Source organism: Homo sapiens, chromosome 2, assembly GCF_000001405.40.
Source record: "Homo sapiens chromosome 2, GRCh38.p14 Primary Assembly".
Classification (NCBI taxonomy): domain Eukaryota; kingdom Metazoa; phylum Chordata; class Mammalia; order Primates; family Hominidae; genus Homo; species Homo sapiens.
Genome location: NC_000002.12, coordinates 220,618,652 through 220,646,138, shown reverse-complemented (window position 1 = coordinate 220,646,138; position 27,487 = coordinate 220,618,652). Strand labels below are relative to the sequence as shown.

General features: G+C 36.9%; 1 long non-coding RNA gene across 1 annotated transcript in view, besides 2 other annotated features; it reads right to left on the bottom strand.

Annotated features, from left to right (window-relative positions):
• Window positions 1-10,836: 10,836 nt before the first annotated feature.
• Window positions 10,837-27,487, bottom strand: part of LOC105373895 (uncharacterized) — a 66,857-nt gene continuing 50,206 nt past the window's right edge. The window contains exons 2-4 of the long non-coding RNA XR_923937.3: window positions 15,579-15,760; window positions 13,332-13,482; window positions 10,837-12,207 (exon numbers count right to left, since the gene is read on the bottom strand). This is a non-coding gene — a long non-coding RNA (uncharacterized LOC105373895). The remainder of the gene's footprint in view (window positions 12,208-13,331; window positions 13,483-15,578; window positions 15,761-27,487) is intronic.
• Window positions 14,989-16,188: an enhancer, noted in NCBI's record as "BRD4-independent group 4 enhancer chr2:221494672-221495871 (GRCh37/hg19 assembly coordinates)". NCBI's record gives its function as "activates an origin of replication core promoter dependent on BRD2, P300/CBP, MED14 and CDK7 cofactors, and independent of BRD4, by STARR-seq in HCT116 cells {active_cell/tissue: HCT116}" and the evidence as "EXISTENCE:reporter gene assay evidence [ECO:0000049][PMID:35650434]".
• Window positions 25,787-26,986: an enhancer, noted in NCBI's record as "P300/CBP strongly-dependent group 1 enhancer chr2:221483874-221485073 (GRCh37/hg19 assembly coordinates)". NCBI's record gives its function as "activates an origin of replication core promoter dependent on BRD2, BRD4, P300/CBP, MED14 and CDK7 cofactors, with strong dependence on P300/CBP, by STARR-seq in HCT116 cells {active_cell/tissue: HCT116}" and the evidence as "EXISTENCE:reporter gene assay evidence [ECO:0000049][PMID:35650434]".

The following is a 27,487-nucleotide window of genomic DNA, read 5'->3' as shown; positions in this document are numbered from 1 at the left end:
TTAAGGCATAGTAGAGAAAAGGCATTTTTTTCATTTTTGCCATAGCTATCAAGTTTACCTCTAGGCAGTTTTTATGAAATACAACAGGATATCTTTAGTAGCTTTGATCACCTTCGATGATAATGGCATTATTATTTCTAGTGATTAGCACTGATAACAGCTGACATTCATTGATCACCATGTTCCAGACACTACACTTCACTCTTTACACACATATTCCTCACAAAAATCCATCGAGGTAGACAGTATTACTATCACAATTTTCGAGATGAGAAACTGACACTTGGTTCCCCTAAGTAACTTGGTCAAGGTAGTTAATGGTGGGAAGACTGGAATAAAGACCCTATATTGCCACCTATACTCTGAAAACCCATTATTCTTCTTGACGTACACCACCAGCCATGCAGTCAGGAAGTGGGAAATCTAGGGATAGTATATACACAAGTTCAGAAGTTTGTGAAGAACCAATGCAATGCTATTTAAGAAGAAATTCCATATGGCTTGAGAGTCAGATGAGGCAAAATCAGTGGGGAGTATGAGGTTGAAGAAGGAATTGGAGACCAGATTTTGAAGATATCATGTATAGCATGAAAGGTCTTTAATTTTTTATCCTAAAAGCAATCGGGATATTTTGCATTTCGCATGTTGAGCAAGGCAGTGTGCTATTTCCACTTTAATTCTGGAAAAAAAGCTACATTGAAAAGGAGGAAAATTGGATAATTGAACTGGTCTACTGGAGGGATGGTGTGGGCCTGAACTGAGACAAGGGCTATGAGAATGGAGAAGCAAAGCAACAGACCCAATCTCTCCTCTGAAGGAGGCAGACTCAGTTGAACTTGGGGATTCATTGCATGCGGGAGGGTGGGAGAGAAAAGAATCAAGGGTAACTCCCATGTTTTCAAGTTGGACAAAAAGAAGAACAATGATGGCATTTAGAGTAATGCATTGTTTTGCAGCAAAGTAAAGTGGGAAGCTTACAAGTTGAATTTAGTACATGTGAGTTTTGAATGTTTATTTCCTCAAGATCAGTCAAGACAGAAAAATGTAATCTAGATATTAGTGCAGCAGAAATGGGAAGCCCTTTATCTGGACATGAACAGTGACAGTATCCATAGGTATAATTTGTAGTCTATTGTCACAAAAAGTCCACATCTCTAAAACGAAATCTTGTTTTTCAAAAATGAATGAGGAAATAAACCCATGAAAAGCAAAACAGCCTTGTAATAAAAGTAAACAACTTGTTCTAACCTAAATGAATACAAATGAAAAGTTAAAAATAATCACACTGTGCACCCCTCAAAGATCCACAGCAAGCAAAATGCATTTTGTCATAGTGGGGTGGAAGTGAAGTGTTCAAAAGCACCATAAAAGTAGAATTCTCCAAAAAGTAATGCAGGTGTCTAGGTCAAATGCAAATAAGGAGCTATGCAAATTGACTTATACTTGACTACAAAATCAGATGCTTAAAAACATTTCAGGAAAGTGAAGTTTTAGTCTCACAAAATTCACCCGGTCCTCATTATAATACGTTTCCCATTTGTGCCATTCATTCAATGCACTAAATGCATGATGGGGCTCCAGTTAAGTAGATTTAGAAGCTGATTATACTGCATTAAATGTATTCACTTCAATTTTAGGGAGGTTTTTTTTTCCTTTAAAAGGATTACTAAACCAAGAAAAGTAGAAAGTAAGACAGAAAATAAAATACCCTTTGGTGATTCTGTAACAAGATTAGAAAATAGAATGGCTTTATGATATCATGTAAGAACATACGTTCTCACTTATCTGATTTAAATAACTAAAGAATACATTTCAATTTTGTTAATTGCTTTTACACTGTACTTGACACCTTCTGTACACATGATTAGCTCATCCCTTGAGACTGCATTTACTTTAGAAATGTCTATCTTTTGTTATGAATTTACGTTTTTTTCTTTTAGAATACGTAGATGGTCAACAATTTTTTTTTTAATTACCGGAATGGACACTCTTCTAGGTGTTAGAAGATTTGGGTTCAACCTTGGCTCCGCCGTGAAGAATAGATTTCACCAATCTTGTCCTTCATTAGTTTCCTGATTTCTAACACTAGGATATTGAATTACACTGCATGAACTCTAAGTGTCTCCTAGGCTCAAAATATATATGATTTTGGGAAAAGGTACTTGGATGTCACTTTTTGATGTTGCCTTCAATCAGCTTCTATTTAAAATAGAAAAAATACCAAAATGCAATGACTGGAATTACAAAACTATTCATATGAATGTATTTATGAATTGAATCTTCATAGATAAAGTATACTGTATACTAGCCAAAGCTACCTAAAATTCAATAGTTTGAGATATAGTAAATTCCATTTGTTTCTAAATGAACCTAGAAGGGAAGTAGCAGAAGAGAATAATTGGCAAGGAAAGAGAATTTCAACATGAATCAACTCTATCATAATTTTATGTAGCATGAGTAGCCTGGCCAATGTACGTTGAGAAGTATCCTTTCAATAAGACATTTTTAAAGTATAAAGTAATCCCTTAAATAGGACATAGGAGCATCAGTTTGCATATGTGATAGGTAAAAGGGAATTTTTTAATAAATGCCCTACAGTTTTAAAAAATTAATACTAATTATATAGCAATGATAATATATTGTAGGGCTATGTCCTATTTTATAACAATTATTAAATTTAAAAAGGCAGTTATAATAAATGCAAAATAATTTGCAAAACATAAAGCCTCATACCCACCACCCACCATGCTGTGAAGGAAGAATCTCCAGACAGAATGAGCAACTTGTCCAACTTCACATTGTTCATAAACAGCCAACCCAAGATTCTGTTGATTTTCCCATTCTTCAAATATTTGCTGAGTACCTTCTGGGCACGCTGATAGTTCCTCCTCTTTCCTTTTCTTCATTTTCTTCTTCAGAAACTAACCAATTTGTCTTCAATTTATGCCTCCCTTTTCCTCCATGTTTTCTGACTTCTCGTCTTTTTGCTCTATATTTTGGTGGTTTTATTGTCTTTAAACATTTTCTTTCAACTTTTTCCTGTCTTCTTTTAGTTTTGGCAAAGGTATTTTAAATGTACAAGAGCTCTTTCTTATTTTCTGATAGCTCCTTTTTAATAGCATGCCGATTTGGTTTTACAGATGTAAAATTTCCTTGGGTTTTTATGAATATGGATTTCAGATTTTTAAGTGATTCTCTGTTCCTGAGTCACTTCATTTTCCTTTTGATCAGTTTTTCCATAGGTGTGAATTATTTCCTCAAATGTCTGATGATCCTCGGTTATTTTTTCGCATTTAAAAATTAAGCAATAGAAAGATTTACTGAGGGCAGTCGTTTATTAGCTGGAAGCTTTAATTCAGCAGGAATGGGCTTGGGCTCACCGTTATACTGGAGGTAGCCTTCCTCAAATGCCAGAATGAGGAGGGTTTTCTCAAGGTGACTAGCCTTCACACTATCTAGTCTGCTCCTTGTAACAATACCTTCCAATTTTACGAACAAAAACAAAACCCCAAACCCCAAAACTCTTTGTTGTTGTTTTGATTGGGGAATAACATGTAGCAGTCAGGTGTTTTTCAAGAAGGAGTAGGAAATAAGGGCTGACAGCTGTGATATATATAGACGAATAATACCTCTAAAATGCCTCTGATTTCTATTCTACTTCTCACTTGCATCCCCTGGTTGGGGTTCTCTGATAGGCAGGTCAATTTCTCTTCCTATTACAGGAATCTCATTGTTGATACTTTAAGTTGATGTTCCTTACACTCTATTTTTCAGTTAATATTCTTCCATCTATGTTTTTTTTCTTCCAAGAATTGGTTGACATCTGCAGGTAGAAAGATATTCACTGTTTTGGTAAGATTGTACCATTTTTATAAAATTTATTTATTTTTTTAAATGTATTTTAATAGACATAGGCTAGTTGTTGAGACTGATTTTGCTTTAGATAGTACCTTCTTCTGTAAGCCAATTCCGACAGGCTTATGGAGCCTTCATATAGTGGCTGAATGTTGGAAATGAAATCCAACACTTAGGTTTGCAATCTGCCCCATGCAGTGAAGGAAGTGGATTACTTCCTGATTCAAGTCTTGTACTTCCATTTGAAATTCCAACTAATCCCTGCAACAGTCTTGGGATAGATAAGCTTCTTGTTTTCAGGATATTTGCAGGACAAAGATGGTTGACATAACCTGGGATCAGTGTAAGATCCAGCTTTTCTGGGCTTGATTTAGTCTCCACTTTCCTAGGTGCTTTTCTATTTCCTCAAAATTAACTTTTCTGTTTTTCAAAAGAATAGATTTCCAGAAGCCATGTGCCATGTCATGATATTTATTTAAAGGAAAACATACATTAGACAGCACATTTGATGATTCTGTTTGATCTCCTCTGTTGGCTTGCTAGCTATCACTCTTTAACTTAGTGGTTGCTTTAGGGTTTGTAGTATGTATTTTAACTTGTCACAATCTACCTCCAAGTGATATTATACCACTTCAGATCCAGCCTAAGAACTTTACAATAGTACACTTCCATTTCCCCCTCCTGACCCTTGTGTTATTGTTGTCATATATTTCACTTGTATATTTATTATAAACTTGACTTTACATTTGTTTTGTTTAAAGATTTAATTATACTTAAAAAGATCTGAATAAGAAACTTCCATTCTGTTTTTTCCTTTGCGGTTACTGATATTGGCAGTTTCCTTTCCTTTGTGCTGATCCATATTTCTATGTGATATAATTCTCTTTCTGCCCTAAGGACTTCCTTTAACATTCTTAAATTGCTGATCTGCTGGTGATAAAATTCTGTAAACCTTTTATGTATGAAAGTAGTCTTTATTTCAGTTTCGTTTTTAAAGATATTTTCACTGTCTAGAATTGTAGATTGACCTTTTTTTTTTTTCTGTACTTGAAAGATGTTGCTCCATTTCCTTCTTGCTTCTGCTGTTTCTGATGGGAAATCTCCTGTTATCCTTATCTTGTTCTTCTGTACAGTGTGTGTCTTATTTTTCCCTCTGGCTACTTATAACATTTTTAAATTTAATTGTTATGTGCTTTGCTGTAGCTTTCCTCATGTTTCATGTGTTTGATGTTCATTGATTGAGCTTTTTAAATCTGTGAGTTTATAATTTCCAGCAAATATGGAAAATGTTCAGTCATGATTTCTTTGGATGTATGTTCTTTCTCCTTACTCCTTCAGAGACTCCAGTTACACATATATCAGGCCGTTGCAATTTGCCCCACTGATGCTTTATTTTTCTCTTTCAATTTTTTTGAATCTGTATTTTATTTTTAATAGTTTCTATTGTTGTGCCTTCAAGTTCACTGGTCTTTCGTTTACAATGTCTAATCTACCATTAATAGCACCCAGCATATTTTTTATCTTGGACATTGAAGTTTTCAGCTATAAAAGTTTGATTTGGGTCTTTCTTAAATTTTCTATGTTCCTACTTAATTTTTTAGATACATGTGACATAGATAGAATAGCATATTTTATGCCTTTATTTGCTAGCTCATTTCATGCCTTTATTTGCTAGATTTAACACCTTTGTCAGTACTGAGTTGGCTTTAATTGATTGATAGTTTTGCTTTTTTCATAATCAGTAATTTTTTATTAGATGCTGCATATTGTGACTATGATCTTGTTGAAGCTAGGTGATTTTGTGGTTCTATAAATATTTTGAAACTTTGTTCCGGGATGTAGTTATTTGGAAGTACTATGATCCTTTTGGGTCTTGCACTTAAGATTTCTTATGTGAGATCAGAGCTGTGCTCATCCTTAATTTTTCCCACTTCTGATGCAAGATCCTCCTAAATATTCTATCCAATGCTTCATAAATCTTGAGGTTTTCCAGCATGGCTGGTGGGAACAGGCACTATTCTCAGACTTGTTTGAATGTTGAACAATGCTGTTCCTAATCCTTTTAGGTGGTTCTTTCCTTGATGTTGGGTAACTTCCTCACATGCATGTGTACATCAATATTCATCTGAATGCTAGAGGAGAACCCTCTGCGGTTCTCTGGAATTCTGTGTGCAGCTCTCTCTTCACTAGTACTCTGTCCAGCAAACTCTAGCTGTTTTGGTTTTACCAGGCTCTCAGATCCATCTCCTCAACTCCAGGAGTATGCCAGACTCTGCCTGGGTCCCCTTTTCTGCACTATGGCTTGGAAACTGTCTCCTGCCCATAAACTGGGGCAATTGTAGGACTCACATTGTTTGCTGTCTTTCAGGGATCATTGAATTTCACTGCCTGGTGTCCAGTGTCCCACAAAGCATGTTTCATGTATTATATCCATTTTGTGGTGGTTTCAGGCAAATGGGTAAATCTGATGTTTGTCACTCCATCTTGAATGATTGAATTGTGTTCTGATTGTACCTAAAGGACATGGCAAGCCCCTAGAGGAAATGACAATGTGGTACATAGCACAAAAGCAGCAGAACTTGGGGACATAAAGGAATCAAAACGGCTATAACAAAGAATGGCTTTTAATTAACTCATGTGAGTGTATGACGAAAGGTCTGAGGAGTCAAGGCAGTAGGAAAAACTACAAAATTTGGGCTTTCATGACATCCTCAATTTCAAAAGGATGGGGGCTCAGAAACTAAAATTGTTTTTTTGTGCAAAATGAGGACAAATACTTCCTGATGACAGCAATTTCAGAACACAAAGTGTGATGGGTAGATAGAAAACAAAAATAGAGAACATGTATATAGTGCTTAGCGAGGCACTAGTATAAGGTTTAACAAGTATTAAGTCATTTAATCCTTTCAACAACTCTATGATGTCAATAGCAGTATTATCCCCATTGTACAGGTGAGAAATCTGAAACACAGAGATTAAATTTTTACCCAAGATCAAATGACTACAGAATGGGAGAACCAATATTTGAACTCAGGAAGTACAGCCCCAGAGCCTGAATTCTTAGCTACCCACACTATATTCCCATCCAAGCTAGATGAATAGAGGGAAATCCTTCTTCTAGAAGAAACAGCTAATTTTTCATATTACATTGTAGGTATCCTGCAGTAGGATAACATTATTCTGCTTTTGGTCACTCAGCCTCTACCTTCTATTCCTCTGAGGAATCTTCACCTTTAAGAAATGAACATGTTGATCCAGTTTCAAGGGGAAAAAGAGACTCAGAAACCTCAGAGGCAATAGTTCAAAATGTAGCACTAAGTGGACATATAAGGAGCATATTTTCCAGAGGACAAGGTCAAGAGCACCTGAAAATGTCTCCATAATGTGTATTTAGAAAGTGCATGTCACAGTGATTCCACTATTGTAGAGTTCTAAGACCTTGTCATCTTTATTTGGACATCAAATCTGGTATTGGGTAGCATTAAAAAATTAAGGTGATGTAAAATTAACATTTTACTAAGAAATTTCAGGGAGTCTTTAATATAATTGATGTCACACTATGATATTGAGATTGCTGTAATTTTAAATTATTTACCAAAATTGGGATATAACTAGAGTTCTTTGCAGCATAATTTGTCCATTTAAACAATGACATATCTATATATGGAGGAATATACTTTACATCTGCCCCTTTTCTCACACTGATTAACACTCTTTCTGCTGTAACTGTCCAGCCCAGAACAAACAGGACCTTTCCAGTTAGTACTGGTGTTTCTCCTTCTGAATAAGTCTACATCAATGAGAACCCCAGAAGTGAGTGCTACAAAGTGTGTTCCAGGGTAAATGGAGCAGTAGTTCTGCTCATGAACTCTCTGAGTTCCCCCTGCCTCGATCCTCCTGCCTCTTCTCTTCCCCACCTCTAATTCGCTCCATTGGTGATACCATTTAATCTCATGGTACCAAATGCCAATTTTTATATTGATTATCCTCCAGAGTTTATCTTCTGCCAAGACCACTCCCTGATTATCAGACTACCTCCATAAACCTCTACCTGGATGCCCAATAAATGTTTCAACCTTAACATGTACAAAGCTAAACTCCTGAGTTTCTGTCCCAATCCACTCTCCTCATCTTCTCCATCTCACTGAATGAAAAACAAACCTGCATAGATATTCAAGACAAATGTTCTGGGGAGTAATCCTCATTCTTTTTTTCTTACATCACACTTTGAATGTATTAGAAATTCCTCTGGTATCTGACCACATATCATAATCTATGCTGCTACCCAAGTCAGCACCATCTCTAGCCTGGATTATTGGAATGCCCTTTAATAGGTGTCCCTGATTTCATCCTTGTCCTCCTATAACCTGTAAGAGTACCCAGAGTGATCCAGTTATAAAAATGGTAGATTATGCTCATCTTCTGCTCAAAGGTGTTATATATATATATATATATGTGTGTGTGTGTGTGTGTGTGTGTATATATATATGTATATGTGTATATATGTATATGTTATATATGTGTGTGTGTATATATATAGTTACATATAGCTATATATATAGCTATATATAGTTATATATATATTTCAGTATAACATATATATTGCAGTATAACAAATTATACTGCAATGAGTTCTTAGTGATATCCCAATTTTGGTAAATAATTTGAAATTAATAGCCTCCCTCTTAGAACAAATGCAAATGGCCTAAGGAGCATTAAAAATTTGGCATCATTACCTTCCAGATCTCATCTTCTACAATAGTACTGCCAGAAGAATATAATGTGAGCTACATAAAAGAAGTGCAATTTTTAATTTTCCAGTAGCAACATTAAAAATATGTATAAAACAGATGCAATTAACTTTAACAATCTATTTGACATAATATATCCAAAACATTGTATTTCAACATTTAATCAGTACCAATTGCACATGATATAGTTTAGTTTTTCTTTCGTTACGACGTCTCTGAAATCTGGTGTGTCATTTATGTGTACAATACACCTCAGTTCAGGCTAGCCACATTGCAAATGCTTGATAGCTATATATGGTCAGGGACAGTGCAGTTTTACAACAACTTCTCAGTGCCTCTCATTAGAGCAGGCATGTTCCTACCTCTCGGCCTCACAGACCTTGCTCTTCCTTCTATCTGTAATACTCTTTCCTTTGAATCTCTTTATCGCTCTTTCCTTCACCCTTTTCAAAACTTTGTTCAAGTGTTTTCTTTTCAGTAAGATCTTCCCTGTCCACAGCATTCAGATTCCAACCTCTTCCAACTATAACATTTCCTATCAGCATTTCTTGATTTATTTTCTCCATTGTATTTAACACATTCTAGCAAATTACGTAATAAATATCTCACACACACACATACACACACACACACACACACACACGCAGGTTCTTACATCAAATTTAATCTGACACTAAGCTCTCATACAACTAGACTATTAGGAAGTTTCATTACATTATTATTATTATTATTGGAGCTCCTTCCTTCCACTCCAGAGTTGTCTGAAAGTCCTAGGAATGATGGTAACTCATAATGTATTAAATTGATTCCAGAGCTGCCTTTCTAAAATTGGGCAAAGTACACACTGCCAGGTTGGGGCCCTGGTGTCTACAGTCTACAATTGCTGAGTTCAGTTCCTGGGTTCCCAGGTTCTCTAGGAGGCAGGTCTGTCCCACCTCCCTAGATTTCTGCACCAATTTTCCTTATTCAGAGAAATTCAGGCCACCATCTTCTTCCTAGTCCTTAACAATTTCCCCTAATGTTTTCTTATCACCTCTCCCAATGCTCAAGGTATTTGCCTCTTTCTCTTCCCCTTAATATATCTCTTTCGTGAGTTTAACTTTAGGAAACAAAATCCTTAATGTCTGAAGGAGAGTGAGGATTGGGCAGGGGTGATCATGATGAATGGTGGACAGCACTTACAGGCAAGCTTTAAAATGGAAACTCTTGAGTCAAAAGCCCGATTATCCCCTTGGACTGGACGGGGAGAGATGGGAGTAAAAATGCAGTAAAAATAAGATCTGTTAATATTGTAACAAAGTCTTGACACAACCATAAGTAAGAATTTTTGGAGATTTTTAGGATATTTTCATTTTTTAATGACTCATGTTTTTGTTATCCCTATTTATTATCAGGAAAGCCTCCAGATTAAAACCATTTCAGTAATACTATTTTGATGCCAGGAAAATAAGGGGCCTGGAAGTAGTGTCACATGGTAGCAGCATACAACAGGAACTATAAAAATGTATGCATATAAATATACATGGGTACATACATACAGACATACATACAGGTTTTGAGAAGAATAGAACCCAAAGAAATGCTTTTACACTGTTGGTGGGAGTGTAAATTAGTTCAACGATTGTGGAAGACAGTGTGGCGATTGCTCAAAGATCTAGAACCAGAAATACCATTTGACCCAGCAATCCCATTACTGGGTATATATCCAAAGGATTATAAATCAGTCTACTATAAAGACACATGCACATGTATGTTTATTGTAGCACTGTTAACAATAGCAAAGACTTGGAACCAACACAAATGCCCATCAATTATAGACTGGATAAAGAAAATGTGGCACATACACACCATGGAATACTACACAGCCATAAAAAAGGATGAGTTCATATCCTCTTCAGGGACATGGATGAAGCTGGAAACCATCATTTTCAGCAAACTAACACAGAAGCAGAAAACCAAACACTACATGTTCTCACTCATAACTGGGAGTTGAACAACGAGAACACATGGACACAGGGAGGGGAACATCACACATCGGGGCCTGTCAGGGGGCGAGGGGTTAGAGGATGGATAGCATTAGGAGAAATACTTAATGTAGATGACGAGTTGATGGGTGCAGCGAACCACCACGGCATGTGTATACCTATGTAACAAACCTGCACGTTCTGCATATGTATCCCATAATTTAAGTATAATTTTTTTAAAAAAAGAGTAAGAAAATGCTGTAGAAAGGAAAGGGAAGCAAATAGATGCTCAAGAGAAAAGGAAGCCTGGAGGATGAAGAAAGCAGAAATCTGGGGAAAGAACAAACAAACAACCTGACTTCTGGGTTGGGAGAGGGGAGGAGAAATGAAGGACATTGCATGAGACGCCAAGTCAGGGCCAGGAAGAGTTTCATGAAGGAAATGTATTGCAATGACCTATGTGCCATACACTGCATTTTCAGGATACTGAATTGCTTGAGATCTTACCACTAAATAACAGAAAGGGAAAAAGCGAAAAACTTTACTGGCTATCTCCTCTGTGCTAGGTAATTTTGCATACAATATTCCCTTTCATCTTCACAATAGCACTATAAAGTAGGTAAGATTAATCTCATTTTCCAGTTGAGGAAAGAAGGTCAAAATGATGGAATGCTTTGCTTGGGATCACACAACTATTCAGTGTGGACTCAAGGAAAGAAGGCATGCATCCAGCCCTGGGTCCTACATTCTTGCTACAGCCGCTCCTCCGGCTGCATGCCCTTGTAGGAATCATTTACTTTTCCAGACAGATCCCCATAATACATCTTCTGCTCCACAGTGGAAATATCTCTTTATTTCTGAAGGCTTATTTTTTCACTTTATTTTTAATGCTCAAGCTGGACAGTCAATAAGGATTTAGTGAATAAGTGAAAAAAAAGAACCCATGTACATAGGTATGTGTCCATTCTGCATCATTTAGTTCAAACTATATGATTTGACAGTAGCGACCTGTAAACATAATATGCATACTACTCATTTAAAAATATACATCGCAATCCAGGGAGCATGATGTCTTAAAGGCAGGGTCCCCTCACAGGGCACTGTATGCTAATCAGCAAAGCGAAATCAGGACTTTGAACAAATTGAACGTATGCATGAAAAACGTTTCTAATTTTTGTATTATTAAGATTTTATAAGATATGTAATGATTCTTTGGCGTACTTTGTTACAATGCTCGTTACAAAATCTGCAAAAAAGGATTAAAATAAATCTCAGATGTCAACACAATCTCCTGGGCAATTCTTCACTAGATCAAACCATGCCATCCACGACTACATTATCTATGAGGCTGAGAATGGCTAATAAGGCCCATCTATTGTGATAGAGCCTGTACTGCACTGAAAGACTTTTTCTCTCTTCTCCACCACGGGCTGTACTTACCCACTCCTGCAGAGAGAGCCCAGCCTTTATAGTTGAAGGCAAAGGTGAAAATAGCCAGTGTTGTCTGGGCTGAAAGACTTCAAACTTCAAATAGTTCTTGGGTTGTAGGGAAAATCCTCATGGCCAATGTTTTTTCATGAGGGCAGGGATTCATATTTCCCAGGCACAGTGGAGAGTACCTGGCATGAAGCTGGGAGCTGAAAAAATGTGTACACATAAATATGCATAGATACATACAGACATATATATATATATATATATATATATATATATAAACACGTGTGCACATATATACTAATATCATCAAATCAACGCTATAATTTTGTTGATATAACCAAAAACCCATCATGTACCCACTAATCATCCCACTACCTGAGCATTTTTCAGAAACTTTGAACAGTATGATTTTTTTAACACTATTCCCAGCTCCTGTATTCAACGGCTTGTTTACTTTGTTACTTTCAGCCTCCTACTCTGGTTTGAGATGTCTCAAAATAGCGTTCCAGTTATTTGAGTTATTTGTGTTTTCATCTATAATTATTTTCTCAACAAGAGTTTTTAAAATTCCTACATAGTTTAAAAAAAAACAGAACTTGAAAAATGATGCAAAATTCTGCAATGTATCCTTAGGAACAAGTAAAGATGCAAATATATCACTAGTAATATGGAGGCAGAGTGATTTGAACACAGCAGAAAGGAGTATTAATTTCAGTCCTGCCACCTACCATCTGAGTGAATCGTGACAAGGTTTTTTTGTTGTTGTTTTATTTACTTGTTTGCCTTCCTGGTCTTCAGTTTCTCACAAGTATATATAAGGAATTGGATCCTGTGCCCTCTAGCATTTTTTGAAACTCTGAATTTCTAGGATTCTAGGAAACTTATCCTAACCAAATTTGTGTTGGCATGACTGGCTTTAGAAAAGCATAGCCAGTAATTGGTGATGGGGCTGACTGCAAAGAACAAGGGCAGAATGAGCTAGACCCCACCTCATAACCCTTAATGAGTCTACCTGTATGATTAAGAGCAATCCTTAATGAGTACATCTGTATGATTAAGAGTAAAGGTGGGTAAACCTGACTTCTACCATATAATCATTATGGAAACTACGAGTCACTTTATCTCTTCAATCATTCATAGAATGGAGAAACAAAACCTACCTTCACAAAATTTAAAGCATTACATAAAATATAAGTGTAAAGCATTTACAACCATACCCAGAACATTGCAGGGTCCAGTTGATAGCTTCTACTAATGTTCTTATCAGAAAACATTCAAATGATAGAGCAGACAAGAAATACACAGGATGGGAAAAGAGACTTACCAATAGGAGATAATTGATCCAAGTTAAACAAAAAGCTATTTATTTCCTCTTTAAATTATTCTTGAAATTTGCCAAGACTTGTATCATTGTTCAGAAGATTTGAACCCCAGAAGTTGTTTCATGCCAACTCGTGTGGTAGATAAAGGGAAACCTTTCAAAAGAATAGATTTACAAATAACCACATTGGTCTTTATCGTCCGTGTTGTTCTTCTCTCTAAAGTCATAGGAAGTATAATATTATTGATCAGACAAGACAAGAGCCTGACCTACCATAATCAAACAATAACCTTTTATTTATCCACCTGGAGAATGTCCATGGAAACTATAAAGGAGAGTGCTTTGGGTCAAAGAGTACATTTGGTTTCACGTTGAGAAAACTACCCCATTCCAGTTTATTTCCTAAATAAAGAGCATGGTTGCTTTTGTACAGTCATGGTCTCAAAGGCAAATCTTTTGTTTCAGGGACTGAATGGGCTATTTCTCTACATGTCTGATTACATGCCGTGCATCTCAAAGCATATTGACAATTTCATTATACTGAGTGCAGTAATCCATATCAACAGCTCATCCCTGTTTTGAATTATAAAATGAAGTGGCTTAAAAAGCCAGGTATAAGCAAACTTATCTGCTTCTAGTACTTCAGGGACTGGACTAGGTCCAAAATTAAACAAGACGCAGAGTAGCTTTTTAAATTTAAACACTTCCTAAAATTGTTTTTTCACCAAAATAAGCCACCTAAAAGATTAAAAGCTCTTTTTCTTCCTCAAAAAAAGAGAAAAAAACCACATAATTACATTCTAATTTAAAACTCTAATTGAGTGCTCTTGTATTTGTAAGATGTTCCACTTTCCTTTAGGGACAATATTCTTATTAGTCATACAAGCTGCCTAATCATTGAAGGGCAAGGCTTCTTCAAACCATCTACCTTTGTTGCAAAGCAAATGAGAAAGTGCAGTGCTGTCTTTTTTTCCTCAGTGCATCTCAATTATGTACTTATAAAAGCAACAATCAAATATTCAGGCTGAAAAATAATGATACCTTCTGGACTAGCACAGGTCTAAAGACAGCTGAGGTTAGTCCTGACTGTATTTTTAAGACAGTTCTCTTCCTGGTCTAAATTTAAAGATTTAAAGATTAGAAAAAGACAAACAAACAAAAACAAAACAAAAAGCAAACAAAATACTCATGAATAAAGGACAAGGAAGCTTGGTTAGGGGAGCAGAAAAGCAAACGCTTGAACACTTTGGTTGGCTTTGGAATCCGGGAGACCCATGTTCAATCTCAGGTGAGTGACCTAAACCTCTGAACTTTGCTATCTATAAAACAGAGGTAGTACCAGCATCTCTCAAAAAGGGCTGGAGTAAGAATTACGGGAGAAAACATGTATAAGTGATTTTCACTGTTCAAAGTAAGCAATGGATGTTCAATATCATCAGCATAATTAAGAAATCATTTTGCAAGTGTGAAATATACAACGTTTAATTTTCTCCTGCTCCCCCTTTCTCTCCATATGCAAAGGTATACCGGGAAAAGGGGAAGAAAACTAGTATTTCCATAGAGTGTTGGCCATGTTCCAGGTACTTTACGTAGATCATCTCAACTAGTCATCATGACATCTGCCTGGGGTATATTCCTTTTAAAGATGAGGAAACTGAGGCTAAGACAAAGACAGAGACAGAAGACAGTAGGACAGAGAGAGAGAGAGAGCCTGAAACCCAAGTCTCCAGTGCCCATCCCATACTTATTCTACTACAAACGTTCACATGCACACGTATTAACACACATGCACACCTATTCCTGAGACAATTTGGGAATTTGTTTAAGTGGTACTCATAGGCTTACACAACCTGAGTACAGTAGCTTTTTTATTAATATTTAATCCTCAAAACAGTCTCATAAAGTATTATTATTATCTCTGTTTCATGAATTACACAATAGAAGCTCAGCACATACGTGATATAAAAAGGCAAAAGCTATTAAGTTCTGGATTTAGGATTAGAACTGAGGTCTGTTTGACACCAAAGTCCAGGTAATTTCTCCTATATAAGGACAACTTCTGATGAGAAGCAAGGGTTGTTTGAATAGAAACCCTTCATTAAAATACATAGAAAAAATTTACTTTTTACTCTCTTAAGATAAAAGATTTCACTTTCTTTTGGGAAACTGGTTGTCTTATGGTGAAATTTTTCTTGTAGAATAAAAGTGATGAAACTGGCTCTCTTTGAATTGGGTGAAAAGAATGAGTACCTTGGACATGAGCATCCTGCTGGCTTATTTCTTGTGTATTACGGCATTCAACAAAGAGGAGAAAGGTCCTATTTGATTTTAGCAAAATGTGGGATCCATGCAGCTCATTTGTAAGCTTCCTTCCTGTAGTAGCTCCCGTTCACACAGCGAGGTCACAGCGTTGGTGATCCGAATGCTCACACCTGCAAGGTGAACTTTAATATATCACATATTTCAACTGTGAGATTTCAAATGAAGCCTGTTGTTGGCTCTGTGTTTCCAGGCAGCTCACAGATCCCTGTCTAAAAGCACTGGGTATAGCAATGATCTCATGATGTTATCTCAATAAATTTCTGTGGACCCAAAGAGAAAAGCCAGTCTTTCGTTGATAGCATAACAGAGTGGACAATATTGCCTAGAGAAGGCTACCATTTGGAAGACCTTCAAGCAACCATAGCGTGGATTGCCTGAAACAAGTACAATCATGAATATCAATTGTCATTAGTTCTTGAACTGACATCTTGGTAACCAAGCAGCTTAGACCAAAACCATCTTACAGAGATTTCCACAACCCAGAAGATCCCTAAAACAAGATTTTGAGAGCAGAAATTAAGATGCAATAGTAAATTAGTTATTGCATATTAGCATAAACAGGTTTAAATTTTTATCTTTTGTATCAGGATAAACTATCAATTAGGAGGTACAACAAGAAAAAAAAAGCCAAGATGAGCTAAATACCCAAACATGAATTGGCTTTAAAAAATTCTAGCTTCAATATACAACTCTTACTACTTTGAAATGTAAAGATTTTAACACTAAAAATCATCATTTTGATTCTTAAAATGTTGTGCCAAAAGGTCTTCATTCAAAAGCATTATCTTGATTCAAAATATAAAGGTTTTCACAGGAAACAAAGTTAATTATACACAGTATGCTGAAAGTATGTCTTAACTATGAGTCAGTTGTTTAAATGAAAGAAATACAAGTCTGAAAATTATCACTTTTCCAATTCAAATTCCCACTGGAATTTCTAGCAGTTCTGGATCCCATATCCCAAAACACCACCAAAACTGCTTAAACACATGTACATACATACACCACATCTAGGTATATTGAAAGAGCACAAATGTCCTTAAATATGTAAGAAACACAGTCCTACAGAAAAATACACACACACACATACACACACACACGTGCTTCTGAAGTGCCACCATTCATTCTAAAAGGCTATAGGGTCGGCTTGACAGTCTTTGGCTTGGTTTAGGTATGCAGTAGATCACTGCCCTGGTTCTGGTGCTCATGACCCATTGCCTAGGTTGCAGCAACAGGTAGTCCACCAACCTACTACAGGAGATAACTTCCTAAGATGCAAGTTGTGAATGACAGTCATCTCAAAAGCTTTCCATGGGTCTCCTTTGTTGGCAGAGCTATGTCCCATTTCTATTTTATGACATTTATGGACCCTGAAGAGACTAACAATAGTTTAGCTCTATATTCCTCAAATTATGCATTGCCTAGAAAATCCAAGCAGTACATCTTTTTCAAATTTTTTCAAATTTTTAATTTTTGTGGGTACATATGAGGTGCATATAATTGTGGGGTATATGAGATGTTTTGATACAGACATGCAATGTGAAATAGTCACATCATAGGAAATGGGATATATATTCCCTCAAGCATTTATTCTTTGTGTTACAAACCTTCCAATTATACTCTTTTAGTTATTTAAAATGTAAGATTAAGTTATTATTGACTATAGTCAACCTGTTATGCTATCAATAGTAGTTATTACTTATTCTTTCTACCTATTTTTTGTACACATTAACCATCCCAGGCGATACATCCTGATGAACAGTTGTGCTAAGTCAAAACCAGAGACACCACCACAGTCTCCATTGCTGCCCTGGAGATATGGATTGTGATTAGGTTGTTGAATGAAGGAGCCAGAGCTTACAATCTGTGGCTGAAAGTATTCAAGCTGTATTTCATTAATTTGCAAGAATCATCTATGCAGCTATTAAAAATATTGATTCCCAAGTTCTGACTCTTCTCCTAAAGGTTCTGATTTGTTAAGTCTTGGAAAGCAGCCAGGAATCTGCATTTTAAAAAGTCCCTGGGCCTTCTGATGCAACCAAGCAGCAATTTCACATTTGGAGCCATACATAATTTATTTTCCTCATTTTATAGGTATAAAAACTGTGAGCCAGAGTAGTAAAGTGACTTGCCAATGATTAGTCAGAAAGTTGCTGCAAACCAGAACTGGAACCCAGGTCTCCCAGCTCCCAGTCTTCCCTTTCTATTGGGCTGCCTCCCACTAGAGCAATAGGGGTGTCATGTAGCAATCTCTGTGCTGCTTCCTATAGCTCTTCACTGGTTTTATTCTACAGATACTCCTTCATTGCAAATTCACTTTTTTAAGAAGACAAAATTTCACAGTCAAACCTCTCACAGGTCAGTGCAAGAAACTTGTTTCACCAAAGGCATTTTTCTGGCTCATCTAATTCTTGATGATGAATTGTGATTTGCCTCATTTATTCTGTCTGTACATTGGGAATTGCACCAGCTCTCACTGAATTGTCTGTTAGTGTTATTAAAAGCATGGATAAAGACAATAAATTCTGTGTCACCACTCAAACTACTCTGTGAGAGATTTCCTACAAATAACAATATGAGTATGCATTCCTGCTACAGCATTAGCATCAAAGACAAAATGGACAAATCAGATTGTCAGTTCATGATTTAGCATCCTCATGAGAAAAGCTTGTGCATGCCAGACAAGTACCTCATAAATTGACACTTATGTTTTGGGCCAATTGAGATACATTTACCTTTACCTTAAACTGAAATGTATACTTGGAAATTAATTTAATCCACTGGTATGGAAGTCTTTCTGTGGCTAGCCTTCTTGGGGAAAAAAAGCTTGACATCTTTGATAAATTCAATAATTCATTCTGGATGAAACTAGTTTTATGTGTTCAAACTGAAACTTCTTAAATATTCCTCTGCTTGACTTAACTAATTTTATGTAGCTTCATTTACTTCCATGAAAGAGTTTAAGTACCAGGGGAATTGGATTCATGGTCTGTTTCACAATAAGAAAATTTGCTTAGTTGGAGAAAAAGTCTTTAAAAACATTTCCAGTACCAGATTATTAAATTATTGCTTTTCCAACAAATGGGTGAACTTATTCAAGTAAGACTTAATTATTCATTCAACCATTTAAAAACATACATATTGAGTGCTTATTATGGGGTAGAAACTGTTGGGCACTGAGACGTAACAACGAACAAAAACAGATTTTTCTTACTCAATAGACATACAAGGGCTTCCAAGGGACATAAACATTAATCACATAATTACACAAGAGAGAAGTTTGTTACGGTGCAGAGAGTATAGGATGAGGTGGAAGTAAGTGAAGTCAGAGAGAGCTTCCAAAAGGGACCAACAACTCAGCTGAGATTGGAGGGGTAAGCAGTTTCTAACTAAGGCAAGGAGGGAAAGAATGTGTACATGTGACAGTAGAAACGTGATGACCAAGGACATCCAGCCTAGTTCTAAAGAAATATCAAGAGAAACTCTGCTGATGGATGTTTCCAAGCCAGCCTTGAGGCTTGCACCAACTATCCAGGTCCTTGACCATGCGGCAGTTGTGGTTTACTGGACAAAGTACTCGAGGAGGAGGAGCAAAAGACCTGGAAAAGGTGCTTTAATCTCCACGGTTCTAAGTCATCACACTTACAAAGGGAGGTTAATAAGGTATACTGCCTGAGGTCATAGGAAGATTAAATGAGATCAAGTGTGTGCAGAGTTTTATAAACTGAGAAGTACTATACAAAAGTGAGGGATTATAAAAGATTATAATGACTAACACCTTCAGTATATAAACTACTTTCTGTTAAAAACAAAATTGGTTATTATTAAGGAGACACTGATCTGTTGTACAGACAGGCATAGTATTTTTTTCATGATGCCATACCAAGCAGGACAGAGGCCAGGTCCTACCAGCTTGCTGTGTCTTGCATGACCAGGCATTCTATGTTTTAAGGCCTTCAAGGGCATGTGCCTTACCTAAAACCCTGGCCCCCACACCAAGCGGCTGTGTAACATCAGCCCAGCCCTAATAGTCTACCATCTGAAGATCAGAGGTTAGATTTTTGCCTAATGCTGCAGAGGTAACCACAGAAATGTTCTGAAGTTTCTCATCCATAAGTCTTTGGACTAACTGCAAAATTTTATTATTGTTGTCCTCACTCAGAGTCTCTCCATTATAGGATCTTCCCCAGGCCATGGTAGTACCCAAAGGAAATTATACTGTGGAAGAATGTGTTAACAAAGTTATAGTGTGGTTACAAAATCAATATCAAGGAAATTCTTGACTAATTAATGTAACTAAGGATGGAAAATTTCAAGAAGTGTAGTAGATGGCAGGTGAGAGAAAGGAAAACTTGATATATCCAAAGAACAAGTGGCTTGAAGATTTTTAGAAGGGGACACTCACCCTGATCAGGAAATCAAAAAAGGTAAATTAGCAAATTATGGCTGATAGTTATATTAGCTCAATCTAAATAAGGTGGATGGATCATTTGGTGAAAGCGGATACTCAAAGAGACACAGAGAAATTCTTCTTTTCAGAAAGAATGCATTTCTGCCCTTGTTTATTTTCTCTAGAGGCCACATTATTGCCCTCGGGAAGTAGGTTTTTTAGGAATCAGAGTGGCAAAGTTTAACTCTTAGAGAAATTCCAGCCACAAGAGAAGAAGTCATGTACCCCCATCCCCATCCCCTTGTTTTGCTTGACACCATGCCTCTGGGAGAGCCCAGTGTGGATTAGAGTTAGGGCAGCACTTTTAGTGCTGGATATTCAACTCCCCCTCCCAGAAGAGTTTCCTCTGTTTTAAGGACACAGCCAGCACCACTCCACAGTGGCCCAGGAGGAGTCAGAATAACAGACTGATCCATGGCCATGATTAAAGCATCCAAGAAATTAGGTGGGTGTCTCTGCATGTTCTGAACGGATGGAAGAAAAAAGCTTAGGGTCACCTTTCCTTGGCACAAACTTAAGTTATGTAGTCATGCACAGTTGCATTCCAGCATAATTTTAGATCAATGGTGATTCCAAGGCAGACTCAATTTTGCCTTTCAGTCCTGGGTTGAAGACCACCCACGATCTTATTAATGCAATTTTCCCACCATAAATGGCCTACTACAAGTGAGTACGTGTTCATGTGTTGTGTGTGTGTGTATTTGTGTGTATGTGTAAACCTCACCCTCAGTGTCACTGTCTTTGTTGGAGAGCCACCATTTCTGATTGCATTTTATTATTCAGGTATCTGTAATCTGGTTTTTCATTACAGCCTAAGTTAAAGTCTCCCAGCTATTCTTCATCAAATTCTGTAACTTCTTAGTTATAGCACCAATATAATGAAGCTAGAACTTTGCTCCACATGGAGAAATTTTGACTACTCCAAAGTGGAGGGAAGTTTTTCCTTCCTGTGACCAAAGAAGCTTTGAGTGGTACTTCCTGACATGGTATCTTTTAGGAGCATCCTATTACCTTTCCTTTATTCTCTTCTGTTCACTTCTTGTGTTTACTTTGGGGAATCATCCTGCAACTCTTCGAGTTACTCAGGCTGGAAAGCTTGATGTATTCTTCATTTCTGCTTTTTTTTTTGTATTAGCCCTTATTTCCAATGAGTTTGTGATTTCTATCAATTATATATTCCCAGTGACTCTCCTATCTATCTCTTTCTTCCAGTTACTATGTCCAATGCCTTAGTTTGGGCTCTATTAATCTCTTTCTGAACTCAGGCCTTTTACCAGGCTCCCTGCTTCTGATCTTTCACCTTGCCAATCCATCCTTTACACTTTCCCCAGATTTATCTTTGTAAAGCAGAGTTTTGATCATGTTGCTATTGTAAAAACTATTTGACAAGTCTGAATGTCCACACACATGGCATAAAGACAAAAGTCCTTCAAGGCTTTCATTAATCTGACCCCTTCAACTTTGAAATACATCTCCTCTTCCATACAGCTTAGAGAACAACCAGAGAAAGTTATTTGCCATTATCCATGTATTCTCACTTTTTTCCCCACACTTTTGGTTTTTTCTCACTGTTCCTTTGGCCCAGAATATTGCTGCAAGCCCATCACAACTCCCTATTAGTACTATAGAAAATAGATTCTCATGCTTCAAATTCCAACCCAAATGACAACAGCGATGTGGAACTTTCCCTAATATCCTCATTTCTAATTAATTGCTTCTTCCTTTGATCCCCACAGCATTTTCCCCGTACATCTATTTTACACTTATTTAATTATACTTAATTGTTTAAACAGGTTCTCAATTATATTAAAAGCTTTGTGATGGCCCAGGGTATCTTCTACTTAGTTTTGTATTCTCTAAGAAGCATCTACAGCACAGCGAATACTCAATTAGTGCTGAAGAATTAGAGAATGAGGAGGAAAAGTTGAATCATCAGTAAATAATAAAAACAATCAGAAAATTCAAGAGTTTCCTAAAGGCGTTGAAATTCCTAATTTTAAAAGCTTTTAGAAAAATTAGAAATTAAATAATGTTTTCACATCTTACAAGGCTCTAAATCAGGCTGCTAACAAAATTATTAATTTAAAGACTTATTAGAATTTGGCTGTGTGCAGTGGCTCAATGCCTGTAATCCCAGCACTTTGGGAGGCTGAGGCAGAGGTCAGGAGTTCCAGATCAGCCTAGCCAACTTGGTAAAACCTTGTCTCTACTAAAAATACAAAAATTAGCCAGGCGTGGTGATGAGTGCCTGTAGTCCCAGCTACTCCAGAGGCTGAGGCACAAGAATTGCTTGAACTCTGGAGGTGAAGGTTGCAGTGAGCTAAGATTGCGTCGCTGTACTCCAGCCTGGGTGACAGAGCAAGACTCTGTTTCAAAAAACACAAACAAACAAACAAAATTAGAATTTAAAATGATAATCCAGGAAAAAAAGGCATTCCACCTCTCCAGTATCTCAGAAAGATTTGAGACTCAGAAACATTAGGTACAAGGTATAGAAGAAAAAGAAGGAACAAGACATGAGCCTGACAGCAAAAGGGAGTCGTTTAAAGTCTGTATAGTTAATTCTGCACACACCCTGTGTGCAACACTCCTGAAGGCCCGGGTAATGCTTTCAAACAAAGGAGTCAACGAGATTTAAAAGCTGGAGAAGTTGAAAGTCCCCAATTTCTGACATTTGAGGCAGCATCACAAAAATTTCCCATCCCCATCACTCTTCAGTAAAGTCCATCAGACTAAAAGCTCTGTCCGTGTACGAAGAGTTACCAAACGGCTTTTATTGTCACATTGCTAAAAATAGACAACTAAGGGTGACCTGAAAATGAGAAAAATACAAAGTATGAAAGAGGCCAGGATAAACAAGGCAAAAACTGTCCCTAAATAAAACAAAGGGAATTTAGTGGAGAAAATTAACATGCAATAATAGGGTTCCCCTTATTCTCAGGAAGAAGACCAAGATGTCTTCTTTTATTAATATTATTAAGATGTGTTTTTGAGGATACAGCCAAAACAATAAGCAATGCATTTATTGATTTACATCCCCACCAACAGTGTACAAGAGTATAAGCACTCTTTTTTCTCCACATCCTCGCCAACCCTTGCTTTTTCATCTTTTTGATAGTAGCTATTTTAACAGGTATGAGGTTATTTTTATTGTGGTTTTAATTTGCCTTTCCATGATGATTAGAGATATTGATCCTTTTTAATATTTCTGCTGGTCATTTGTATGCTTTTTTTTTTTCCCAGAAATGTCTATTTGAGTCCTTTTCCCATTTTATAATAGGGTTATTTGGGTTCTTGTTGTTGAGTAGTTTGAGTTCCTAATATGTTATTTATATTAGCCTCTTACCCAATGTATGATTTGCAAATATTTTCTCCTAATCTGTGGGTTGTCTCTTCATTTCTTTTTTTTTTTTTTTGGCCATGCAGAAGATTTTTACTTTCAGGTAATTCCATTTGTCAAGGCATTTATTGAAATAATGGGTAAAAATTAAACTTATTTCTAGATTATATTATTTATAACTATAAGAAAAAATAGTTAAGAAAAGGAAATTTTAAAACTAGTATGAGAGTATTAAGTGTTGCTACGGTTTGAATGTTCCCTCCAAAATTTTTGTTGAAACTTAATTCCAATTGTAATGTTATTAAGAAGTGGGGACTTTCAGAAGTAATTAGGTCAGTGGATTAATGCCATTATTGTAGAAGTGGGTTAGTTATCCTGGGAGTGGGCTCATAAAAGGATGAGTTTGGCCCAATTTCCTCTCTATTTCTCATTCTTACTTGCACTTCTGCCATGTTATCACACAGCACGAAGACCCTCACCAGATGCTGGCACCATGCTCTTGGACTTCTCAGCCCCCAGAAGTGTAGAAATAAGGTTTTGCTCTTTATAAATTACCTAGTCTGTGGTATTCTGTTACAGTAGCATAAAATGGACTAAGACAGGTGCCTAGATGCATAATAAATATACACAGAACAACAGTATTCATTAAGACCTTCCCATGTGCCAAGAACTTTTCTACAAGTTTTATATGCATTACTTATGCCAGAATGTTATACTTTAAAAACATAATGTGAGAAAGGCATCATAATTTATAACAGCAAGCAAAAACATGAACTATTATGGAATAAACTTTGAAAATATGCACAAGATTTGAAGAAATTTGAAAAATCGTATTGCAATGGGTACCTTTATGGGTCAACTTAGGTAATAGATATATGTCTTGTTTATTATGTTTCTCTGGTGAGCCCTGACTAGCAAATCGTACTAGGACACTTTAATAAATGAAGATATATACTTACATATACCTGAATGGAAAGATGAAATTTTACAAAGCTATCACTATTTCCAATACAATGGGTATAACTTAATTGTTAGTGATAACTTGATGTGGTGGTTCTGAGGACAAAATTATTATAAATCCATATTTAAAAATCAGTAGGTAAGAATATCAAGGATTATTTTTTAAAAGATGAATATTTATCATGATTACCTTACCAGATATAAAAACTGACTATAAAACTACTGTAATGGAAAACATGTTGTTTTGGTGCAAAATTTGAATGATGAAAAAATACAGAAGAATGAACTTTTTACATGGACAAAAATATCATGTATCTTGTTTACATAGACACTTTCAGGTCTTTATTTCACTTTAATAATGAATGAACAGATAAGCATGTAAATCAAGGCTGGCATCCACCAGATGTTAACTTATGGGGAAGAAATGAAGGGATTGATTACTCAACAAAGTAGATCAAGGGTGGTTTTTTACTCTTTTCATTTTGCAGAGCCATTGTTTTGGTTTTTTAAATCAAGTTAGATGTACATTTCGAATTAATATCAAAAACATTCAGTGGGCTGGAAACACTTCACCAGCACTCCTGGTAAACTCAGGTGGTCCAATAAATATAGAAAAGGACATCAAAGATTTCTACTGCCCCATTCCAAGAGAAAAAGAATCAATATACTCAACAAATTCACACAAATACCTCTTACGAACCTTTATGGAAATCATTACTAGTCTATCAGACAAACAAAAACACAAACATGCACAGAAAAAGAAATAATTGAACTCTGGCCAAAAATTGGAGTTCAGATAAATCTATTCAAGTTCACAGACAATAGTAAGTAAGGGGAGAGGAGAGGAGAAAATGAAAGAGATTGCTGGACGGATGCAGCCAATGGTGGGTTCACTGAGAGAGTCCCCTTCATCAGTGAGAAAGGAGCCTGGGATGAGGGGCAGAAGTAATGCCTGGACCTGACACCTTGCAAGGAAGATTTCTCAGGTCTAGGTTCAACTACTTTTTTTTTTTTTTTTTTTTTTTTTTTTTTGAGACGGAGTTTCACTTTTGTTGCCCAAGCTGGAGTGCAATGGTATGATCTCGGCTCACTGCAACCTCCACCTCCCAGGTACAAGCAATTCTCCTGTCTCAGCATCCCAAGTAGCTCAGATTATAGGCATGCGTCACCACGCCTGGCAATTTTTTATTTTTTTTTTAATTTAGTAGAGACGGGGTTTCACCATGTTAGTCAGGCTGGTCACGAACTCCTGACCTCAGGTGATCCACCTGCCTCGGCCTCCCAAAGTGCTGGGATTACAGGCATTCACCACCGTGCCCGGCCTCAACTACTCTTAAACTGACCTGTGGATGAGGGGCTGTGGATTCAGTTGCCTCACTACAGACACAAATTGACTGCAGGGCTCCTAACCTACCTCTGACCCTCACCAAAATGAAGATGTGAAGCAGGGTAAGATGAGGGAAGCCGTTTTGCTAGCAGCAAGAGAGAATCTAAAGATATGGAACCCAGACTCCAGTGGGACAGGTGAGCAGCTCCCAGTGGTCACTGTGCAGAGATAAGCTACCCCAAGAGGTGTCTCGGTTTATGGGCCTCCTGGGTGTTGCTGCTGTTGTTTGGGTGGCACTGGAGGGGTGGGGCCATGTTGGCACCTTGTCTGAGGTGAGTCAGCATTGCCACAAATAGGGAGAAGGCAATAGCAGGAGTCTGTGTGGTTCTAAGGAAAAAGCCCAGGCATCTCTCTTCTGTATCTCACAGAGAAGCAAGAGAAAGAGAGAGGCCCAAGACCTAGCATTGGAAAGTCAGGACTACCCATCCAGTTCAGTTAGTGACAACATTAGGCTAACTCCTTCATTAGACTCCAGAAATCTTTAGGGTCCAGAGGACCCTTGACTTATAACAAAGAAAAGCTAATGAGTCAGGAGATGAAGGATGAGATAAAGTAGGCAGCTCTGACGTTTTCCATAAACAGACTTGTAAGGGAAGAATGGGAGTGATTAATCACCTTAGGGTTTTTCTGTTTGTTTTTCCACTCCCTGCATTAAAAACTTTATTTACTCACACATATCATTCACTTGAATCAGGTTAGTGTGTTCATGCACTCAGTTCTCAGGTAAACCTCATGTAAACTGTTACCAACTTGAGAGTTGCAGCTCTAGACAGCTTGGCAGGTTCGTCTCTTCCAGAGCCTAGGAATTAGAAAAAGAGTCATGCAAAGCCCTTTGGCAAACCCAGTACTCATGTAGGGGCTGGTGTTGCTAGGCTGAAGTCCAAGATGGTCTTGACTCCTGAAAAGGTATTCTCTCAATTTCATCCAAACAGTTTCTCATAATCCTTTCTACATCAGCTTCTACACAAGCACAAAGAAAAATCTGAAATTTAGGGGAGGTTTTTCCCAGTTTTAAAATCATTTTCTTTTCCCAGTAACAGTGGAAAACAGACCATCTTGAATAAATACTCATTCTAATCTACCTGTTGTTTTGTTTGACTTTTAGGATTTATCCACCATTTGTTTTTAAATCAAATCCAAAACTGACAACTAGCAAACTACTTTACTTCAAGAAGTTGTTATTTTATAATAGAACTTAATGAGCATTTCTGAAACATATCAAGAATTACTCACCATTTTCTTCTATTGTTTATTAGGGGAATATGCTGTTTTCAAGTTCTGTTGACAACTCATGTCCATTTAGTTTAACATTACATGTGCTGAAATGTTGTAATATTCTTCTTTTGTTTTCCTATGATTTTTTTTTTTTTTGCCTTGGGTAATGTAAGACAGTTTTCAACTCTATAGCTGTAAGGGTATTTTTATACATGCTCAAAAAGATGGATCACTCTACAGCTAACCAGAATGGTTTGCAAATAGTCTCTTAAGTAATCAGTCTGGATTGTGTGATCGATCAGTAGGGACAGAAAGAGTTTTATCAAGATGACTGGCTGTGGCTGACCAGCCACTCTGTGCAAGCTGTTCAGAGACATGTTTATTAAGCCCGTATCAGTGAACTCAGAATATAAGAGCTGGAAAAATCCTTGGATACTCTCTACTCTTCATTTTACAGAATACCAACCCAAGATCTAGAAAGGGAA